Source organism: Homo sapiens, chromosome 15 (genome assembly GCF_000001405.40).
Source record: "Homo sapiens chromosome 15, GRCh38.p14 Primary Assembly".
In the NCBI taxonomy this organism is placed as follows: Eukaryota; Metazoa; Chordata; class Mammalia; order Primates; family Hominidae; genus Homo; species Homo sapiens.
Window position 1 is genome coordinate 49,458,839 of NC_000015.10, and position 20,509 is coordinate 49,479,347.

General features: G+C 34.6%; 2 protein-coding genes across 28 annotated transcripts in view, besides 1 other annotated feature; one reads left to right on the forward strand and one right to left on the reverse strand.

The window, feature by feature from the left end:
- Window positions 1-20,509, reverse strand: part of FAM227B (family with sequence similarity 227 member B) — a 293,849-nt gene that overhangs the window by 131,869 nt on the left and 141,471 nt on the right. The window lies entirely within an intron of this gene.
- The window catches only part of FGF7 (fibroblast growth factor 7), a 65,534-nt gene that overhangs the window by 35,597 nt on the left and 9,428 nt on the right, over window positions 1-20,509 (forward strand). The window lies entirely within an intron of this gene.
- Window positions 13,221-13,270: an enhancer, noted in NCBI's record as "active region_9387". NCBI's record gives its function as "activates an Ori minimal core promoter by ATAC-STARR-seq in GM12878 lymphoblastoid cells {active_cell/tissue: GM12878}" and the evidence as "EXISTENCE:reporter gene assay evidence [ECO:0000049][PMID:35858748]".

Below are 20,509 nucleotides of genomic sequence, written 5' to 3' on the forward strand. Positions count from 1 at the left end.
TCCCCCCTGCACCAGTATTTTGTCTATTTTTTCTAGACTGACCAACATCTACTACTCTATTTAGTAATTATTTTTTACGAGACTAGTTGATAAAAATGACCACTGCTTATAAAAATATTGATCTGCTATCCAGAACAATAAAGCAATTCGTTTGATTGTCCTTCATTTCTATTAAAAAACACACAAAATCTACTGTCATATAACTAATACTCAACTAATATATCTTCCTTCTCTAGTGATATAAATACAAACATTACTGAATATCTTCTGAGTTTCCCAGAAAGTTTCAAAATGCTTTGAATCTTTGTCCAGGAGAAAGAGTGTGCGTGTATGTTTCTCACACCACATTGTAATTGATGTGCAGATGTCAGCTGTCCTGGCCAGAGGAGGAGAGATTTGTACATTTGACTACTTTCAAACATGGAGGAGTAGGCTCCCAATAGGTTCTCTGCATTAGGTGCTTTCTAGGGGAGCAGCACACCATGTGATGCCTACAACAAATTCAAAAACTCTCTTAGAATCAGAACACCTGTAATTAGTATGTTTATTCCATGAATTTTCTGAACCTCCTAGTCCATGTGTTGTACATTTTTGCAGTGCTGTTTTCTTTCTTTTCTTTTTTTTGAGATATAAGAGTGAAAAGAGATTTTTTAAATGAACCTGCATTTCAGCATTGTGTTAAGTGCTTTTCTTTTCCCATCCTCTATCTTTATCTTAATTATTTTAAAGTCCTCTTGTTTTATCTCTTCAATATTTTGCAAATATTGCTTTTATGTAAATTTATAGAGTTTGAGGAATAATTAAAACTAGTATTTCTATAGTTCTCTACACTATTATTTTATGCTTTCAAAAATGACTGTACACATTTTCAGGGGCCAAAACCAGGCTATAGTTCATGACATAAGCTGTGCTTGAGACTTGTAGCTGGTGGTGTGCTGGAGATGGCTCATCCCGGCTCCTGTGTGCATCTCTTTCCAACTCCACATTCATCTCTTCCCAATACCATGTTGGTATCTTGACATGGGCATAAAACTGGCCATGGTGGAGGTATTTACACAATGTAAATGGGCAAATGCCACACATTAGAGACATTTCTTTTCTTCTGGAGAGTCTGTTCTTAAATATTTTTATCCACCCACACACTGTCTGTAGACGAAATTTCCACAGCTATCACTTTCTTCCCTTGACACCACACCTCACCACTGCCTAGTTTGTCTCTACCAACAACAAACTTTATGTTTTTGTTAGCACTGTGACAACCTGTGCAAGGAATGTCAAGCCAGAGCATCAGGTATCATGGAAGAGGCAAGCCCCAAGAGAGGAAGAAAAGTGATACTATTTTTCCTAGTACCTGCCAAAGTTACTTCTGAAGCCTTAAAAAAAAAGTCCAAAAAACTCAGTGCCCCTAGAAGTAGGTAAGCTGCACAATTACTTACATAGTACATAAGTACTGATCCACCCACAGATAACAATATGTTGAGACAAACATATAGCCATGCTTATGGAAGGTGAAGTTTGATTTTAGTGGAATGACATATAATTTACTTAAGTGTTTTAGTTGTGTAGTGGGTGTCCATATATGATCTCTGATTCCACTGCAAAGTCTGAATGCATGTGCTCAAATTAGCTCAAATTCTAAATCTGTGGTACCAGGATTCTTTTTGAAGGACTATGTTTTTACTACTTATATTTTGACATTTCTTCACAGTTCAGGCGATCATTACCAAATATTCGAGGTGGGAGTACTGGCCAATCCCAAAAATGTTCTAGCAACAGCCAAGTCAGAAAACAAATATTTTAACCCACACACATTGTATTCATTATAGTCTGAAAAAAATAGGACTCTTGATACCAGTCATGTATATAATAATTAAACAATCTAAAACCCCTCTGGCACTTATAAAAACTGTGCAGCTTCTTTGTTTTGGCAATATGATTTTCTGTCCTTAGCAGAGACATATTAGAGGGCAAAGCTTTGTGTGTGAGGCAGATATCAAAGAAGAACATTGTTTGTTTGATTATGTTTTGTTTTGTCTTTTTCAGAATGCATTTGGTTTGTTTTTAATTTTTCTTTCTTAAAGGAATACTGTCCAAGCCAAATTCCACTATGTCAAAGCTCAGTGTTGATAGCTGGCATCCATGTAGACCATAAAGAATGAGTGATATTCATCTTGTGGGGCCAGCCTTCCCCTGAAAATACTACCCTTCATCCCACCTCTGCCATTTTTCTTAGTCTATTTCCTTCTAGTATGTTTCTCCCTGACTTAAATATCTCTTCCATCCTGATGAACTTCTTCTTCCTATCTGTTGAAGTCCTCCTCGACTAGACTAGTGACAGATCTTTTCTCTTCCTTACTACTTTGCCACTTAGAGTCTTCCTTGTCATTTGGGCTAATTGCAGGTCTCATTATCTCAAAAGGCAATTAGTTCCTCAAAGATAGAGAGCTAACAATTTATTTTTTGTATTCCCTGTAAAAATCCATGCACAATGTTAGATACTGAGTAGGTATACAGTCAATAACTCTGCTTCATTTTATGCAGATTTGAAAAACATTAAATACATATTCCTTGGCCATCATCCAAACTATAAAAAGAGGAGTGGCTTATCTGACATCATGTCTATTTTTCAATGCAGACTTTAGCTAATCTGAGAAACTGCATATTTCATGCTCTATACTTCTCCTACTTACTGCTAGATGTCTTGTCTATCTCTTTGAAAGAGCCACGTACTTCTGTTTAATTTAGGCATATGAAGTTAATCCCTGCAAATACTGGCTAGAATAAGTTGTACACTATGTATTCAGATAGTGCAGGTACAATATGTACATTCTCAAAGCATCAAAAAGAATAAGAGCAATCCTTATTTTTTTGAGGAAAAATTTTTATACTCCATTAAAACTTAAAGAGATACCATGTGAAATTCAAGTTGAATTTTCTTATGCTAATTATGGTACTGATTTAATTTCAAATTAAACAACTGCAAGCTCTCTATCTACATATGGTTACTAGGGTAACCTCATTTATCTAATACACATAGCTTTAAGACTGATTATTGCCCAGGGGCAGTGGCTCTGTAATCCTAGCACTTTGGGAGGCCGAAGCAGGCAGATTACTTGAGGTAAGGAGTTCGAGACCAGCCTGGCCAACATGGCAAAATCCCATCTCTACTAAAAATACAAAAATTAGTCAGAAATTGCTTGAACCTGGCAGGTGGCGGTTGCAGTGAGCTGAGATCGTGCCACTGTACTCCAGCCTGGGTGACAGAGTGAGACTCCATCTCAAAAAAAAAATTGTATTTAAAGGCAGTATGAGAGCATGGTGAAAGGAGAAATGTGTGAGGATCTGGGATGACTTAGGAGGATCTGGGATGAAAAAAAGATTGATTATTGCTTTTTTGTACTTTAATCATATATGAGTACACTGAAAGTGGTCTCATTATTTAAAATATCTTGTAGAAAATAATTTCTAAACATGTATTTTGCAAGATAAATAGTAAGCTCCTAACATATATTTACTAAATTTAGAAATTTTCGGATGATATTTCTTAATCACAATGCTTTTTCCCCTTGTACTCACTAGAGAGCTGGCCTTAGTCCAGAAGTATTTTTAGTCCAGTCTCATAATTCTCTTTTCCAGCATGGGCAAATATAATTTCTAACATAATTTGTTAAAAAGTCTCTACTGATTCTATTTTAACTTTGTATCTTTCATTCATTGTGCATGATCCACTTTCGTTGGCACAGAACTGGAAAGTATAGAGTAGGGAGGTAAGGGTAGGCTACAGTAACTCTTACCAAGAAGAGGAAAGCTAACTCACTGTTGCTCACAGATTCTATGACTGCTCTTCCTTCCTCTTTCTCTCATTCAATTTATTTTACTTCCAATTAAGTTAAAATACAACTTTGAAAGATAAGATATGATATATCAGATTATGAAAGCAGCTTAGACTAGTGAAGACTTTGGCATGTATAGAAAGGATGACTGTATTCTGAAAGATTATTGATAAATTATAAACGATATTACATTCAAAATAAATAAATACATTTTATTCTCTAGGTCCTAAGGCACTTTATACATTCAATTTTGGCAGAATGGAACTGTGTCATGATAAATATAGCATTATTGGATTCTCTAAATATCAACAATACTTTGAGGTCTTTAAAGAGTTTGTGTCTTAAATCACTCAAAATAGATTCAGGATCTATATGAACCATTTATGGAAATATAACCTGTTTGAAGAAACAAGTTCACTCTCTCCCAATCCTGACGATTCTTGCCCTGGAGTAGGCCTCCATCAGCTCCTGCTTAGATCAGTACTACAATCTCTTCACTGGTCTTGCCTCTTGCCAATTTATCTCCCACACTGCTGCTAGAAGTATTTTTCTAAACTTTTCAGTGGCTTACCATCCTCTACAGAATAAAAATTCAAATTCGGCCAGGCACAGTGGCTCACACCTGTAATCCCAGCACTCTGGGAGGCTGAGGTGGGTGGATCACCTGAAATCAGGGGTTCAAGACCAGCCTGGCCAACATAGTGAAACCCCACTTCTACTAAAAATACAAAAATTACCTGGGTGTGGTGATGGGCGCCTGTAATCCCAGCTACTTGGGAGGCCGCAGGAGAATCACTGGAACCCGGAAGGCAGAGGTTTCAGTGAGCTGAGATTGTGCCACTGCACTCCAGCCTAGGCGACACAGTGAGATTCCGTCTCAAAAAAAAAAAAAAAATATCCAAACTCAACTAGCTGCATAAGTTCTTAATGGTCTAGCCCTGCCTATATTTCTTATTTCTTTTCCTGGAAGTTCGCTGTGTATAAGTTGCAAGCACACCAAGTTAACCCCCAAATGCCACAGTGTTTTATGCTTCTGTGCCTTTCTCACACAGTTCCTTCTGTCTGATTTTCTGTTTCACTACTATGCTGCTACAAAGTACTTATAATGTTTATGGAATAGATTCTGAGGAAAGGCAAGGCAGCTTCTGTAAGGGGAAAATTGTAAGTATTTGCTAACGCTCTTATAAGCACAGAAATATCGTTTTTTAGACTACTTCAAACTGATTTGATGTGGCTCAACAAACAAGGTTTTTGTTTGTTTTTTGTTTGTTTGCTTTAGAGTTACTATTTTTATCCTAGGATAAAGCTGATCTTTTTCATTGGCGGAGGTGAGACACTTTTTAAAACCTGGCTTTGAATAAGTTGTGATTTTTTTTTCCATCCCCAAACACCTGCTGTATGGACAATAATTCTATTAGTTTCATTGGCTAACTACTGTGATAAGCCTCATGAAGGATGGGTTAGGCAGGGGATGGATTTTCTAAACGAGGGTGTAGGGAGGGTAGGTAATCAGAATCTCCACAGAGTATGTGTAGATTTAAAAAGCGGTGATTCTGACACTTTATTTCCCGAAGGATATTTTTTGCCCAACAATTTCTGCCCCCACCTCTAGTCTATCATGTTGAGAATCACTGGTTCTTAAAAGAGAAACAGAAAAGGAATTAGTTTGAATTAATATTTTAAATAAAAATGTGTTAACAGTGAGATTCCTCTAAAATGATCCAACTTAGTTGACATTTTTATAAATGATCTAAAAGTATGTACGTGTAGTGAAAATTCTAAGTTTGTAGGTTGGGCTAACATCTCTAAATTCATGAACTAAGCTAATGATGATAAAATGCTGGAAGACAGAACATTTATATATAGGTAGGCAAAAAACTGGCAGATGACTTTTAATGTATTGAATTTTGTAATAAAATTTAAATTATACAAGATAAAAGTCACTGAATAATGATTTTCTTGCAAAAATGACACCAATAAATCATTTCAGATGTTCCCATAAAAATGTTATCTTAATGTGCAGTGGTCCCAAATGACCAATAAAGTAATGGACACTATCAGGAAGAATGTAAGACACAAAACAGAACACATAGTATCTCCGTGTAAACAGTGTGGTGCATCTACATCTGGAAGACAGATGCCATTCTCCTTGCTTAGCGTTAATAAAAACTATACAGTACAATGGAAGCATCCTGCAATTAGAATGAATAAATGAATAACGTAAGACATACATGACATACCTAAAAAACATTTTGGCTATCATCTAGAATAATAAATGTTTATTAAGGTGATAATAAACACCTTAACTAGTTTCTAATTAAGAAACTATAATGTTATAAATGTCTAGTTAAGAAACTATAATGGACTGTATTCAATGTATATAAAATCATAATATGGATAAGAACAGAGGCTTGGATAACTCATGAAATATTAGAAGTAGAATGTCCTTCTTAATTTTATTTTTATTTTATTTTTTGAGATGGAGTCTCGCACTGTTGCTCAGGCTAGAGTGCAGTAACACGATCTCAACTCACTGCAACCTCTGCCTCCTAGGTTAAAGCGATTCTCCTGCCTCAGCCTCCCAAGTAGGTGGGATTACAGGCACCTGCCACCATGTCTGGCTTTTCTTTTTCTTTTTTTTTTTTTTGGTAGAGATGGGTTTCACCATGTTGGCCAGGCTGCTCGAACTCCTGAGCTCAAGTGATCTGCCCACCTCGGCCTCCCAAAGTGCTGGGATTACAGGCGTGAGCCACCATGCCCGGCCTACTTCTTAAAGTGTTAATGTGTTAGGAGCAAGATAGATAAATAGATATGCTATCTTACAGAGTACATAGAAAACATATGTAAGTTGTTACCCATAATATGAGTGTTGCATGTTGAAAATATAAATAGATTCAAGAGAGATTTAGCCAAAACCAAAAAAGAGAGACCTATAATTGATTGAAAAACCAGAGATATTTGGGGTTCTCTCAACTTTTTTGAGTTGGCATCATAAAATACAATCTGAGATAAAGTATTATTTAAATTAACCAAGGAATTTTGTGCTTATTTAATTAAACTCCAAAATGTAATGAAAATTAGAAGGAAATTTAGCAAATACTTTTGTTATTCAATCTAACCTTAGTTTTTCGACATTTAGTATGATTAGAAAACTTGTTAATTCTTTAATCTTGGAATAATAACAATCATATGCCAACTTATAATTTGACACACTACTTAATATGGTGTTTTTGTCATTTATTGAGGGTGTGTCAAATACAAATCCCTGTACCAAGTACTGGGGGTTAGCTGAAGCATAAGATAGTCTCTTCAAATAGTCTACAACCTAGATTTAAAAACAGGCAAAATTTATAAATAACAAGAGAACAATAGAGGTGGGTGCTAATTAATAGTACAGCAGTATGTTCTTAAAGTAAAATAGATGACAACAGATTAGGAAACTACTAATCACTATGGAGAAACTGGAATTTCAATTTGGGTACTCAGGTAGGTGGAAGCTGTTAAAATACTAATTATCAAGCTTCACCTCAGACCTGTTGGATCAGACTTTCTGAGGAACGGGAACTGGAAACCTGAAAATCTTTTAGAGTTCATCTTGTGATTCCATGCAATCAGTCCATGAGGCAATATTTGGGAAGTACTTGAGTAGAGCATTCTATGTAATTCCAGGAACTGGTAGGCAGAGCAGGTAGAGACTGACATTTTGCATGGGAGAGGAAGACAATTAGTAAATCTGTTTGAAGTCAAAGGATCTTCTAAGTTGTAGAAGAAAAATGGGAGAAAATTATGTAGGCTGGAGTCAGATTTTGGAGAGCTTTGGATAGTAAATAAAAGAGGTTTTTGTTTGCTTTTGTTTTTAATAGAGTATACCACTGAAACTTTTGAAGCAGAAGAGTAACCTTTATAACATATATCTTATGAATACATAAAGGGTTAAAGTCAGAAGGGCTGGAGGCAAAGGTCTAGCTAAGAAACTATAATAATAGTTGAGGCACAAGAAAATGAAGGCCTGGACTAATGTGATGGCAATGGAAACAGAAGAGAACGGCTGGATATACATTGGTAATATAGAGAGGAAACATAATTGTTTCTGGTAAGAGCTTGGGGGTCTTTAACCCTTTTTAAATTTTTTAATTATCTTTTTAAGTAAACTCAGATGTTTTTATTTCTGCCTCTTTTTCCTTTCACTTTCATTTCTGTGAAAAAATATTAACTACTCCACATAAGAATTCCTTGTTTAGACTGCTAGCAAAGAGCATATGCTTTAAAAGTGCTAAGAAAGCCAATGACCAAAATGACTTTAAATCGTGCTTTAATTTTTCCATGCTGATGACCAGCATGATTTGAAACCAAAATGTTTAGAATTATCTTATGCCTGGGTAGCAGAACATTTAGACACAAGTTAAAGAGGGAGGGAAGAAAGATTACATTATATATCTACTGGATGGTAAGTTTCACGGAGTATATTAGTATTTAAAATAAAGGGAGAAAGTGGATGTGTAGTTTATCATCTAAGCTGCTGTCTCTGAATTAGATAAAGTGTAGCATAACATGCTTTGTGACTCCTAGAGGTAGCTATGAACAAAACGTTAATGAAAGTTTCTATAACTTCTTTTTCTGACCATTTTCCCCCTTCAATTTCACTCTTAGTGCCCTTGTGATCACTTTCTTCTAGCCCCATCAAATTCTGCTCTCAGAGAAGGTATAGTCACTTATACACAGTATAAATTTATGCATAGGTGTTAACTCCTCCCTGGTACATTTGTATTTTGAAACTTACCTCTCATCCTATGTAATGAAAATCTGGTTTCCTGCTGAAGATATTTTAGACTTTAGGAAAATCCAGAAAATGGAAGAGATTTTCTAGATGGTGGGAAGAGATTGCTTCAACTATTTCCATTTCATATAAAAATCTGATACTTTCTCACATGTTCTGGGACTATAATATCCACACCTATTCTGATAATTTTGGAGCCATTTTTAAAAAAACACAGTGTTGTATTTAGCAGATGTAAATAGTCTACATTGTCAGACAAATAATTCTTTCTGTATAAAAGTTTAGAATCTTTAGTGATTAGAGAGTAAACAAAGAGTATTTCCTCCTGTCTGATTCAGGGAATATATCTTCTCTGGCCCAAAGGAGAAAGGTGGGTCCCTTGCATTCCTGAGAGGCCATAAATGATAAGGAAAACGATCAGTAAATTGGTATAGAAATATAAGTCTGTGCAATACAGTTCAATGATGTTCCCATGACATTCTTCAGTAATATGCTACTGGATAAATATCACACTGTATATTGCACAACCGAATAGTTTGCTTCAAATTCTGATATAGTTCTAACGCTGCTGAAACAAGCTGCTGCAACTTAAATTCTTTCAAAAGAAAGTATTGCTATAATTGTACCACATGCTGATGTACTTTCTAAAGATTTTCTAATGTTTTATTTTCTTAATAAATCCCTGAATGAATGACATAATTATTTTTGGTTAACCAGACATGTCATTTAAATGGTTTTTGACATCATTATAAAATATATATGGGATTAATAAGAAGTATGTTTGATTTATTCCCTAATAATGAGGATGATGTGGAATCAGTTCTCTTGTTGCAGGACATTTCAGTTATACTTGATACCAGCAATTATGCAATCATGTGGAACTATTTTGAATTTCATGCTAATTTGAGGGGAATTATACTTTCTGGGTTTCAGTAATAATTTATCTACTTGTGTTTCTTTCTTGCAGGCTTCAATTAGTTTTCTAATTTCTTTTAGTGTATTCCAAGGTTCTGACTTAAATCTGTTATTTAACAGCTACAGGGCATGCTTTCTTAGGGTAAAGTGATCCAACGACAAGATTAGTATTATCAACCATATGTATCATTGTGTTTTTTTACAATAGTGGACTTCAGGGTTCATGGGAAAAGAGAAAAACCTGGAAGCAGGTTCTGTATCCAGCCTGCTGGAGGTCACTACCTCCACAGAGTCCTTTGTGTTGCCCCTTCAAAGTGAAAGTCAATAAAGAAATGTGGAGAAAGTGAACTCAATTCTTTCCTAACTCAAACATTGAATCATTCCCTCCAGGCAGCAAAGCCAACATGTGCACAGCATATCCAGTTAATGGTCCTATCCCAATACTAGCACTGACAAAAGAGGTTTGTCTTCCGTGTTAAGCAGTCACTCTGCTTAACTGATGGAACAAGTTTATTTCAACTTCAGTGCTCATAATTTGGGCTTTTTCTATTTCACTGTCACTTTTGAAAAAGTCAATTTTGAATAACATGCATACATTACTAAAGGTCATTTGCTTATGTTTCAGGTTGACACCTTAAAAAAATACAGCTACATGTTTTATGTATATGTATATATCTTACATGATTTTGACTTGGTTCATGATGGAGGTAACTTATACAAGTTGTTTACAAGAAAATAAATGACTCATAAAACATCTGTAAAATAAATGTAAGACTGAATGAAATAAATGTAAAATGGTACTTGAGTCATTTATTTTCTTATAAGACATTTGTCTATAACAGTTGATATAAAATTATATTACTCTGTTTTCAAACATATTTTCTTTTAGAGAAACATTTCTTGGTTAGAGATAATTATACCACTTATCGAATACTGTCTATACAGAAAACTGCTGTTTATTCCAGGGATACTCTTAAAATTAAATTAAATTTAATTCTATTTCTACTTGAAGGATATGGAGCATTACAATTATATTTAATTTTAATACATTATATGTGATTTATAAGCACTATCTTTACTTCATTCTGAAATCTCAGACCAACAAATCACTTGGCTTTTCATGGCACAATTTTTACTCCCTTTCTTAGAGTCAGAACAAGAAAAATTTATTTCTGTAGTCAAGGCCAAAACAGTGGCTTATGAATTAAATTATTAGGTGTTGCTTCAATAAAGTATTGAATTGAAATAATTCAATAAAGTATTTACTTAAATTCCTTGATTTTACTATAAGGCAGACAAAAAGTAGCCAAGGAACTTCATTTGCAAGAACTAATTAGCAGTTGTCAGAGAATGAAATAATCTTCATTATCAAGACACTGGTTACAACTAAGTTATGCCTTTAAAAGTGATTGATAATAGCAGTAATGAGATTGAGAAGCTACTGGCTGAAACATATTGTCATTATCTTTCAATTTTTTACGACTCTAAGAAGTCATAATGATAAGCAAACTCAAAATGAGAAATGGTGATAAAGAGAATGGAGAAAATGTAAATCCACATCAAACCAAAGAATTCTCACCTTCACAGTACAATTAAGAGTTTAATGATTCCATCTTTTCATTAGAGGATGGCATTAAATAGAAATGGTAGCTATGCTTTAACATATTTCTTAATTCTCTGGTAAAATTTAAGCCCTGCATACAACCATAATCAAAATGGGACATTCTAATGTTGCTCCATCTTTTGAAGACCACGGTATTATGATCAAAGCGTGGAAAATGATGGAATTCTAAAATGTTACTGTAGATTGTAAATTAAAGAGGAAGACAGGGATAGAAAAACCACATGTGAGAATACTTTAAGTGGCACCTTATAATTCTTTAACACTGGGAACACTGAGTACATATTAAATATTTTTAAAATTAAAACACTATCATTATCACTATATTTTAAAAAGTCAGATATGAAATTTTTTGGTGCTGAGCAAATTTCTTTTTTATTACCAATAAGCAATTCTGTTGATCCTACATATCTAGTACAGCTACAATTTCACTGTGGATCTAGATCACAAAGTGATTTTCTTATGCCAAATTTAGGACAAGTATATACAAAACCACTATCACTTCAAACTTAATATCTTCATAAAAACTCCAACACATTATCACTCCCACCTAGTAAAAATAGCATCCCCTTAACTTTTATGATACCTTAATTCTCAAAATGACCTGTGTTTGAAATGATATTTGACTTCTCTAACTTCTTTTGCTTTAGCCTCAACATCCATTGGGCCTGGAAGTTGAAAAAATGGGCATAGCAAGAGGAATGTGTAAATGTGATAGAAATAATTTGGATCATTGCTGTTAAGTATAAATGAGTATTTGTGATCTATCATATTTGCTGAAGTTTGACATTAAGGTGGTACATTCCAGTATTATGTATCACTTTCTAGAAGATCAATGAAGTAGAAATGCAGTGACAAGGGTGTCATCTAGAAAGAATGAAAAGAAATACATCCAAGAACTCAAACAGCTTGCTGGGAGAAATTCCAGGATGTAAGGACACCAAGGGAACTACTGCAGCCCACCTGGAACATATTTGTTGTGTTTGTTCCACATCTTGTGCCTGAGATGGTTACCAATTCATGTATAATATAAACTGTTTTTCTTGAGTAGATGTGAAAGTGAAAAGTCTTGTTGATACTCTTTTCTATGCTACAGCTTATTAGAAAAGATAAGTACTTTTAAAGGGAGTAGAAAAACTAATTCAGAAAGGAAGCCAAGAAGAAAAATTCTAAAGAGGCTAGGGAATCCAAACCATCATTAAGAATATGGCAAATGTGAGGCCGGATACAGTGACTCGTGCCTGTAATCCCAGCACTTTGGGAGGCCGAGGTGGGTGGATCACCTAGGTCAGGAGTTCGAGACTAGCCTGGCTAACATGGCAAAACCCCTCCTCTACTAAAAATACAAAAATTAGCTGGTGTGGTGGCACAACCTGTAATTACAGCTACTCAGGAGGCTGAAGGAGGAGAATTGCTTGAACCTGAGAGGCGGAGGTTGTAGTGCACCTAGATGGCGCCACTGCACTATAGCCTGAGCTACAGAGTGAGACTCTATCTCAAAATAATAATAATAATAATAATAATAATAATAATAATAATAATAATAATATGGCAAATGTAATGAATTTATATACAGAAGAAAGATGACAGATATGTAGAGTACTGAACATAGTTAAGTAATCAATGACTTGTTTTATTCAAAAATGGAAAGTTATGATTTTCTAATCAAGAATGGCGAATCTGGTCTTTTTGAGAGTGACAACAGCATCTCATGCTTTATGTAACAATAATGAGCATCCAGAAAAGCTAGCTGACATTAGGTAATTTCTTGGCTAGGAAGCAGCTGAACACAGGTTTGACAGTTTGCTGAGTGGGGAGCTGTGGTCTTCCTGACACGTGTATCAAGATCTAAAGGGCAGCCAGAAAAGACGTATCAAGCTAACTAAATGCTGACACATGCAGGAATAAATGACAGCACCGGAAGAAACTTGGAATCCCTCGTGACAGTGAAGTTCTGGATAAGAAAGTGAAAGACATGACAGCACAGGTGTTGTTTTCATTTTTTCTTCTAGTTTTATCTCATGACTTTAGAAGTGAAAAAAAAAAAAAAGCTGTGAAAGTAAACACCTGGCCATTAACAACAGTGTTGAAAATAAGACTTGTCTTTCTGGCTGTTAGCTTAGAATAACTGAAAAAATAGGCTCCTGGAGTTTTATGTACATTTTATGAAGAACGCATTTGAAGTAAAGTGAAATTGGGGTGCATTAGTTAAGATTCAGTTTGGCTTAAAAAATTGTTTATTTCTCCATGCAATAAACATCTGGAGGAGTGACAACTCTGCTCCACAAAAACATCTGGAAGTTTCCAAGTCCATTTAGCTCACCGTTCCATAATCTCTTTGTTCTCATAACCCAAGGTAGAATCCAAATTCCAGCAGGAAGGTGGAATAAAGTGATTAAAAGTGAGCATAAAGGGCTTCTGCTGGGTACCTTTTATGGAAGACTTTTGGAAGTTGCCATAGGACACTTCAGTTAAATCGCATCAGCTAAAACTTGGTCACATGGCCACATTAAGCTGCAAAAAAGACTGGGAAATGGAAAGTTTATTTTGTGCAGTCAGCTAAAAATTCTATTGCTATGGAAAAAGGAGAGAATAAAAGTTGGGAACAATTAAAAGTCTTTGCTCAGAAAGTTGGGGAGAAAAATGCGTACATATGATTGAAGGAATGAACATCACAATGAATGACATTATACTGTCATAAGCTTGAAGACTTAAGGGGCAAAGATATGACAAGAAGAGAATAGAAAGCTTATTATGCCTCATAAGAAAAGGGCTAGAATCAAAACGTGTAACTTCAAATGGGTAGAAAAAAAGCACAGATGTAATGATAAATAGTAGATGGAAAAGTTACATGACATTACAGATGAAGACATTTCCCAAATTTGCTAATGACAAATAAGAGAAAGGAGTATCTAATTTTTTGGGTACCATACATTTTAATATACTCATGTATCAGTTATTTGTGATTTATTCCATGCCAAATTATAAACAGAATTAAAGTGGCTGAATTAAAACTCACCATTTCTTAAGCAATTGTATGTGGACCACTCATGTTTCCAAAGGTACTTGGGGGATTAATTTAACTAAAGGCATACTGTAATCTTTTTTCAACTGAATATTTTTTAAAAACATTTTTGTATTTTTTCAATTTAGAAAAGAATGGTTTGAGTGCCTCCACAAACATATCAAATATGAATGCCAGGAATTTAGAAAGATGAGACAGATTTACTCACAGTTTAGTTAACTCATCCTTTTGTCATTTAATGAAGTCATGATGATGTTCACTATTATATAAATAAGTTCATTCATTGTCATATGCTGCTAAATTTATAACCTTAACAAACCATTGGTTAACAAGAGAAAGTATAAAGAACATTGAGTTAAATATAAGTTATTAGAAGCATAAAATAACTCCAAAATTCGCTTTTATTTTTTAAATTGATGTATATTTGACAATTTACAGTTAACTTTTAGATAATTTTCTTCAGATCACTACAGTCCTAGTGCCAAGAATGGGTCTGGCAATAAACACTCAGTAAATACTTGTTAAATAACTTGTATGTTACAGAAAATATTGTGACAATCATATTGGAGTTGGTCTCACGTTTTGGAGGGGTATAATGACTCTCTACCCCAGCAATATTTTATTTATGGAGCACTATTTACAAATAGAAGAATAAAACTATTTCTCTTATTTCAACATTTGGAAACCAAAGAAATTGTAAAAATAAGTGAGCTAATTTTTTTAAAGCATAGAAAGAATTTTAATGATTAGATTCCAAAACTAGATTTTGTCATCTTTGATGTTATAACATTTATATTTCAACATATATTTATTTAACTCACTTTTAATTCTACACATGCTGTATGAGGTCATTTTAAAATGTATTTTTTCAAAAATCATGAGGTTTTTAAAAACATAATTAATGTAAAGAAAATGAGGAACATTCATCATTTGTTGCAGGGGAACAGTTGACATTTGCCTTTATATATAATACATATTTAAACAAACTTTATAATATAACCTTGAAAAATATACTAACCTAAAACAAAATGTATTTTTGATAGGCGAACTTTTTATTATATTCAAACTCTAAAATAATGACAGGATTTAAAATATTTTTAAGGAGATGGTGAGATTGTATTACTGTAAAATACATTTATGGTCTATATCAAGGAAAATAATGAACACTATTCTGTCTTAGGCTATCTATATCAGCCCAGTTCTTGCTGAGATACTTATTTTTAGTAAATAATGTAGCTGGTAAAGAGTCTGGAATTCATACCGTATGAGAAAGGGCCAAAGAAACTAAGGATAATGGGAAGCATGATCAATGTCTTCACCTCTTTCAAGGGCTGTTATGTGGAAATGGTATTGATTTATTCTGCATAGCTTCAGAGGATATATTCACGTATAATTGGTAACACAATCAGAGCTACTTGTAAATGTAATGAACCACCTGAAAACTGGTAACCTACAATAAATTAATGAGATTATATAGCTGACAGACAGGTAAATCAATGGGACAAAACAGTCAATAAAAGGTAAAAGAGAGGCATCAGTAAAAAAAGGAATAGAATGTTTAATAAATAATGTTGAAAATACTAGATAGCTATTTCAAGGAATAAAATATCAGTTTTCGGCAGGAGCCCCCAACCCCTGGGCTGGGGACCGGTACTGGTCCATGGCCTGTTAGGAACTAGGCGGCAGAGCAGGAGATGAGCTGCGGGTGAGCAAGCATTCCACCTCCTGTCAGATTAGCTGTGGCATTAGAATCTCATAGGAGCGTGAACCCTATTGTGAACTGCATATGCCAGGGATCTAGGTTGCGTGCTCCGTACGAAAATCTCACTAATGCCTGACGATTTGAAGTGGAACAGTTTCATCCTGAACCTCCCCCCGGCTCCCGTCCCCTGACTGTTGGTTTAGAGTATCATCTCACACCATACCCCAGAATTAATTCCAGATGAATTTAAGATAATTTGAATTTATATTTAAAATTCAAACTATAAAAGATAGAATAAACTATATTTCAGACAATGGTATGGAAAACATACTTTTAAGCATAGATACAATATAATAAATTATCACAAAAGATCTATAGAATTGGTTACACAAAAATTGATCAGTTTGATTAATTTTTTCACCCTGCACTCCGGTAGTGTATGATTAGTGAAACATGAGAATTAGGAATAGAACAAGGAGTGTGAAGTGAGCCAAACAGTGCATAAAATAAAGTGTTACTGAAAGAACTCTTGGATTTGGCAATTAGGAGTTTATTCATGAGTTTGAAGAGAGAACGCCAATAAAGAGATTAGAAGTTAGGATGCAAAAGTTAAATTGAAGAAAAATGAGCAGATTCTGGCTACGTGTTCAAGAAAGTTGGTGCTAGTGAAAAGGAACCAGGGTAGTCCTTTGAAAAGATTTCAGAGTTAAGGGCAGGGACATTTTATTCATTTGACCTATAGGCACAGAGATGGGAGCCTGTGAAAATTTCAAAGGCTTGCAAATGTATTTAAACTTTAATATTAAGATAGTGACAGTAAAATTTGAAAATAAAATATACAGATTAGCAGATATTTAACAAATAAAATATTATGCTAACTTTATTATTTATTAAATTTATTAATTTTTTCATAACATCTAAAAACAATTTGATATTTTTTTTACTTTGTAACAATTCCCAAGAATGTACACAATTTGCAGAAAATTTACAGCTGGGGCGGGCACGGTGGCTTATACTTGTAATCCCAACCCTTTGGGAGGCTGAGGCAGGTGAATCACCTGAGGTCAGGAGTTTGAGACCAGCCTGGCCAACATGGCAAAACCGGGTCTCTACTAAAATTACAAAAATTAGGCGGTCGTGGTGGCGCATGCCTGTAATTGCAGCTACAAGGGAGGCTGAGGAACAAGAATTGCTTGATCCTGGGAGGTTCAAGACCCTTGACAATTTGGCCCTAACTCTTTTTCCACCCTCTCACTATTTTGTTACACTTCCTATTCCAGACATACAGCTCTAGTTTCAATCTTCTGAACATGACTTTTGAATCTTTGCTTCCATGGCCTTGCACATAGTACTTTTATCTCTCAATTAGCATGTTTCCATCTTTTCTACCTATGTCAACTCTATTCATCCATCAAGATCTAATTCAAGCTCTATCTATTCCTCAAATCCTCCGTTGACCACTTGACCACTTCTTTCTTCTGAATTCCTATTTATTTTGCTGTTTTGTTTTTTTGTTTTTGGTTTTTTTTTTTTTGCATTTGGCATATACTGCCAGGTATCACTTATTTTATTTTTTCTGTGGAAAAAGAAAATACTAACTGAATTTTTGTATATATTTATTAATATCCAGATAGGATATCATAATTAAAGTAATCAGATCAAGTTTCTAAAATATTACTGGCTCTTGTTTTCCATTCCCAAACACCTGAGAGATACTGTACACTTAACAAGTGAAACAGTGGTCTGTATATCCAGTATTTGTATCCTACAATTTCCAAAGTGTGTTTTTATTATGACCTTACTCCTCTTTACTGTCCATATTTCACAAAAAGAAGTTATCCATTGGGTAAGAAGATCTTAATCCATTACCAAAGACATTTTTAATAGTAATTAATAAATCACATATGTTCTATATATTTTGGACATAAATAAATAATGTAAAATGTCGGTACAAATAGTTTCTCTACACTCAATGATATTATATTATTAAAGTCAGCTGCATTTAAAAATTAGTAGACTTTGTATTTTAGAACACTTTTAGATTTACAAAAAAAATTGAGCAGATAGGCCAGGCGTGGTGGCTCACGCCTGTAATCCCAGCACTTTGGGAGGCTGAGGTGGGCAGATCACAAGGTCAGGAGATTGAGACCATCCTGGCTAACACGGTGAAACCTCGTCTCTACTAAAAATACAAAAAAATTAGCCGGGCGTGGTGGCGGGTGCCTGTAGTCCCAGCTACTCGGGAGGCTGAGGCAGGGAAATGGTGCAAACCTGGGAGGCGGAGCTTGCAGTGAGCGGAGATCCCGCCACTGCACTCCAGCCTGGGCGACAAAGCGAGACTCTGTCTCGAAAAAAAAAAAAAAATTGAGCAGATAATAGAGTTCCCATAAACAATCTCCATTTCCCCCCACAGTTCCTCCATTATAAATATCTTGCACTAATGTGGCACATTTATTACAACAGATGAGCCAATATTTATTTATGCCATCAGTTTATACTAAGGTCCACGTTTTGCTTTGTATAGTTCTATGAGTTCTGACAAATGTATATCATGTATCCACTATTACAGTATTACGCAGAATAGTTTCACTGATTTAAAAATCCCCTGTGATTCAGCTTTTCATCCTTTTTCTGCTCTCCTCAAGGCCCTTGCCACCACTGATACTACTGTCTCTAAAGTTTTGCCTTTGCCAGAATGTCATATGGCTGGAATCATACAGTATGTGGCTTTTTCAGACTGGTTTCTTTCACTTAGCAATATGTACTTAAGGTTCCCCTTGTCTTTTTGTGGCTTCACAGCTCAATACCTTTTTATTGCTAAATAATATTCCAGTGTATACGTGTACCATAGTTTGTTTATCCATTTACCTATTGGATATGTGGGTTGCGTCTGGTTTTTGATGATACGAATAAAGCTTCTATAAATAGTCATGTTCAGGTTTTTGTGTGGACATAGTTTTCAATTCAATTGGGCAAAAACCTGGGGGCATGACTGCTGGATTATATAGTAAGAGTATGTTTAGTTTTTAAGAAACTGCCAAACTGTCTTCCCATGTGACTGCACCATTTTGCATTCCCACTAGTAATGAAAGAGTTTTGGTTGCTTTGCATCCTTGCCAGCATACAGCACTGTTAGTTTTTTGGAGTTTAGTCACGCTAATAGTTGTACAGAGGTATCTCATTGTTGTTTTAATTTGCAATTCCTTTTTAAATAATTTCAACTTTTATTTTAGATTCAGGGGGTACATGTGCAGGTCTGTTACCTGGGTATATTGTGTGATACTGAGGTTTGAGGTATGATTGCTCCCATCACCCAGGTACTGAGCGTAGTACCTAATGGTTTTTCAACCCTTCCCTCATCTACTCCCCGCCAGTAGTCCCCAGTGTCAGTTGTTGCCATCTTTATGTCCCTAAGTACCCAGTGTTTAGCTCCCACTTATAAGGGAAAACATGCAGTATTTAGTTTTCTGTTCATGTGTTAATTTGCTTAGGATAATGGCCTCCGGCTGCATCCATGTTGCAATTCTTTAATGATCTATGATATTGAGCATCTTTTCATATGCTTATTTGCCCTTTGTGTATCTTTAGTGAGGTGTCCAGATTTTGCCCACTTTTTAACTAGGTTTTTTTTTTCTTATTGTTGTGTTTTCAGTGTTTTTTGTATATGTTGGATATATTGATATATTTTTTGCATATATGTATATGTCGGTGTATTTTAGTGATGTAAAATGAATGGAATCTATAGCCTTAAACATAATAAAAATATATAATAGTTAAGATTTCCCACTCAACAATCCAGGCTTGACAGAAAATCATAAAATGTATTTAAATTTAAATGTTTTTTTCTTTGTTGATACTAGTTCTTAGTTTTAACATGCCAAAGAGGGTATATTTGATCAAGGACAAGATTAAATGTTCTGATTGGCTAACCATCAAACCACTGCCTCCACTTTTTTTCCAACTTGAAAATAATATTTAGTTATCATGCTAGCACAGCCATATTAATATATACCCCTTCAAAACTTTAAATATAAAGCTTTAAATGTTTCAGGAAAAAGAAATATTAATGATGCTGAGATTGGTGGGCATGGATTCTGTGTAGTGAGACACTAAAAAGTAATTTTTCAAATAGGAAAGTTAAAGCACTTTAAAATCACAAAGCTATTGGTAATTAAAAAAAGAATTAGTATCAATTTCTGAAATACAAGATTAGAGGGACACCTAAAATTATGAAAGATTTTAGAGAATTTTTTTAAAAAGTAATTGCAATTTAGATCAAAGTTTCCCATTTTTCATTCCAAGTGTGATACAGGTTTAAATAATAAACAGACAAAAAGGTTTAGATAAATTCATGAATTATTGAACCAGAGGATAAAAAATAGGGAAGCTATTTAGGGCATAGTCTCTAGTGTGTAAGGGTGACATCCTAAATAATAAATTTGTGCTATTATTGACAATATTGCTGACAAGGCTAAATGGTCAATGTGCTTGACATATTGCCTGGTTTTTCATGTTCTATTGCATGAGCTGATTCTCTCTCTCTTTTATTTATATTTTTGAACTCTACCATTATGCTATCATGGACATTATGTCAACAATTTGATGCATCTATGTAATATGCTTTAAATCTTTGGAA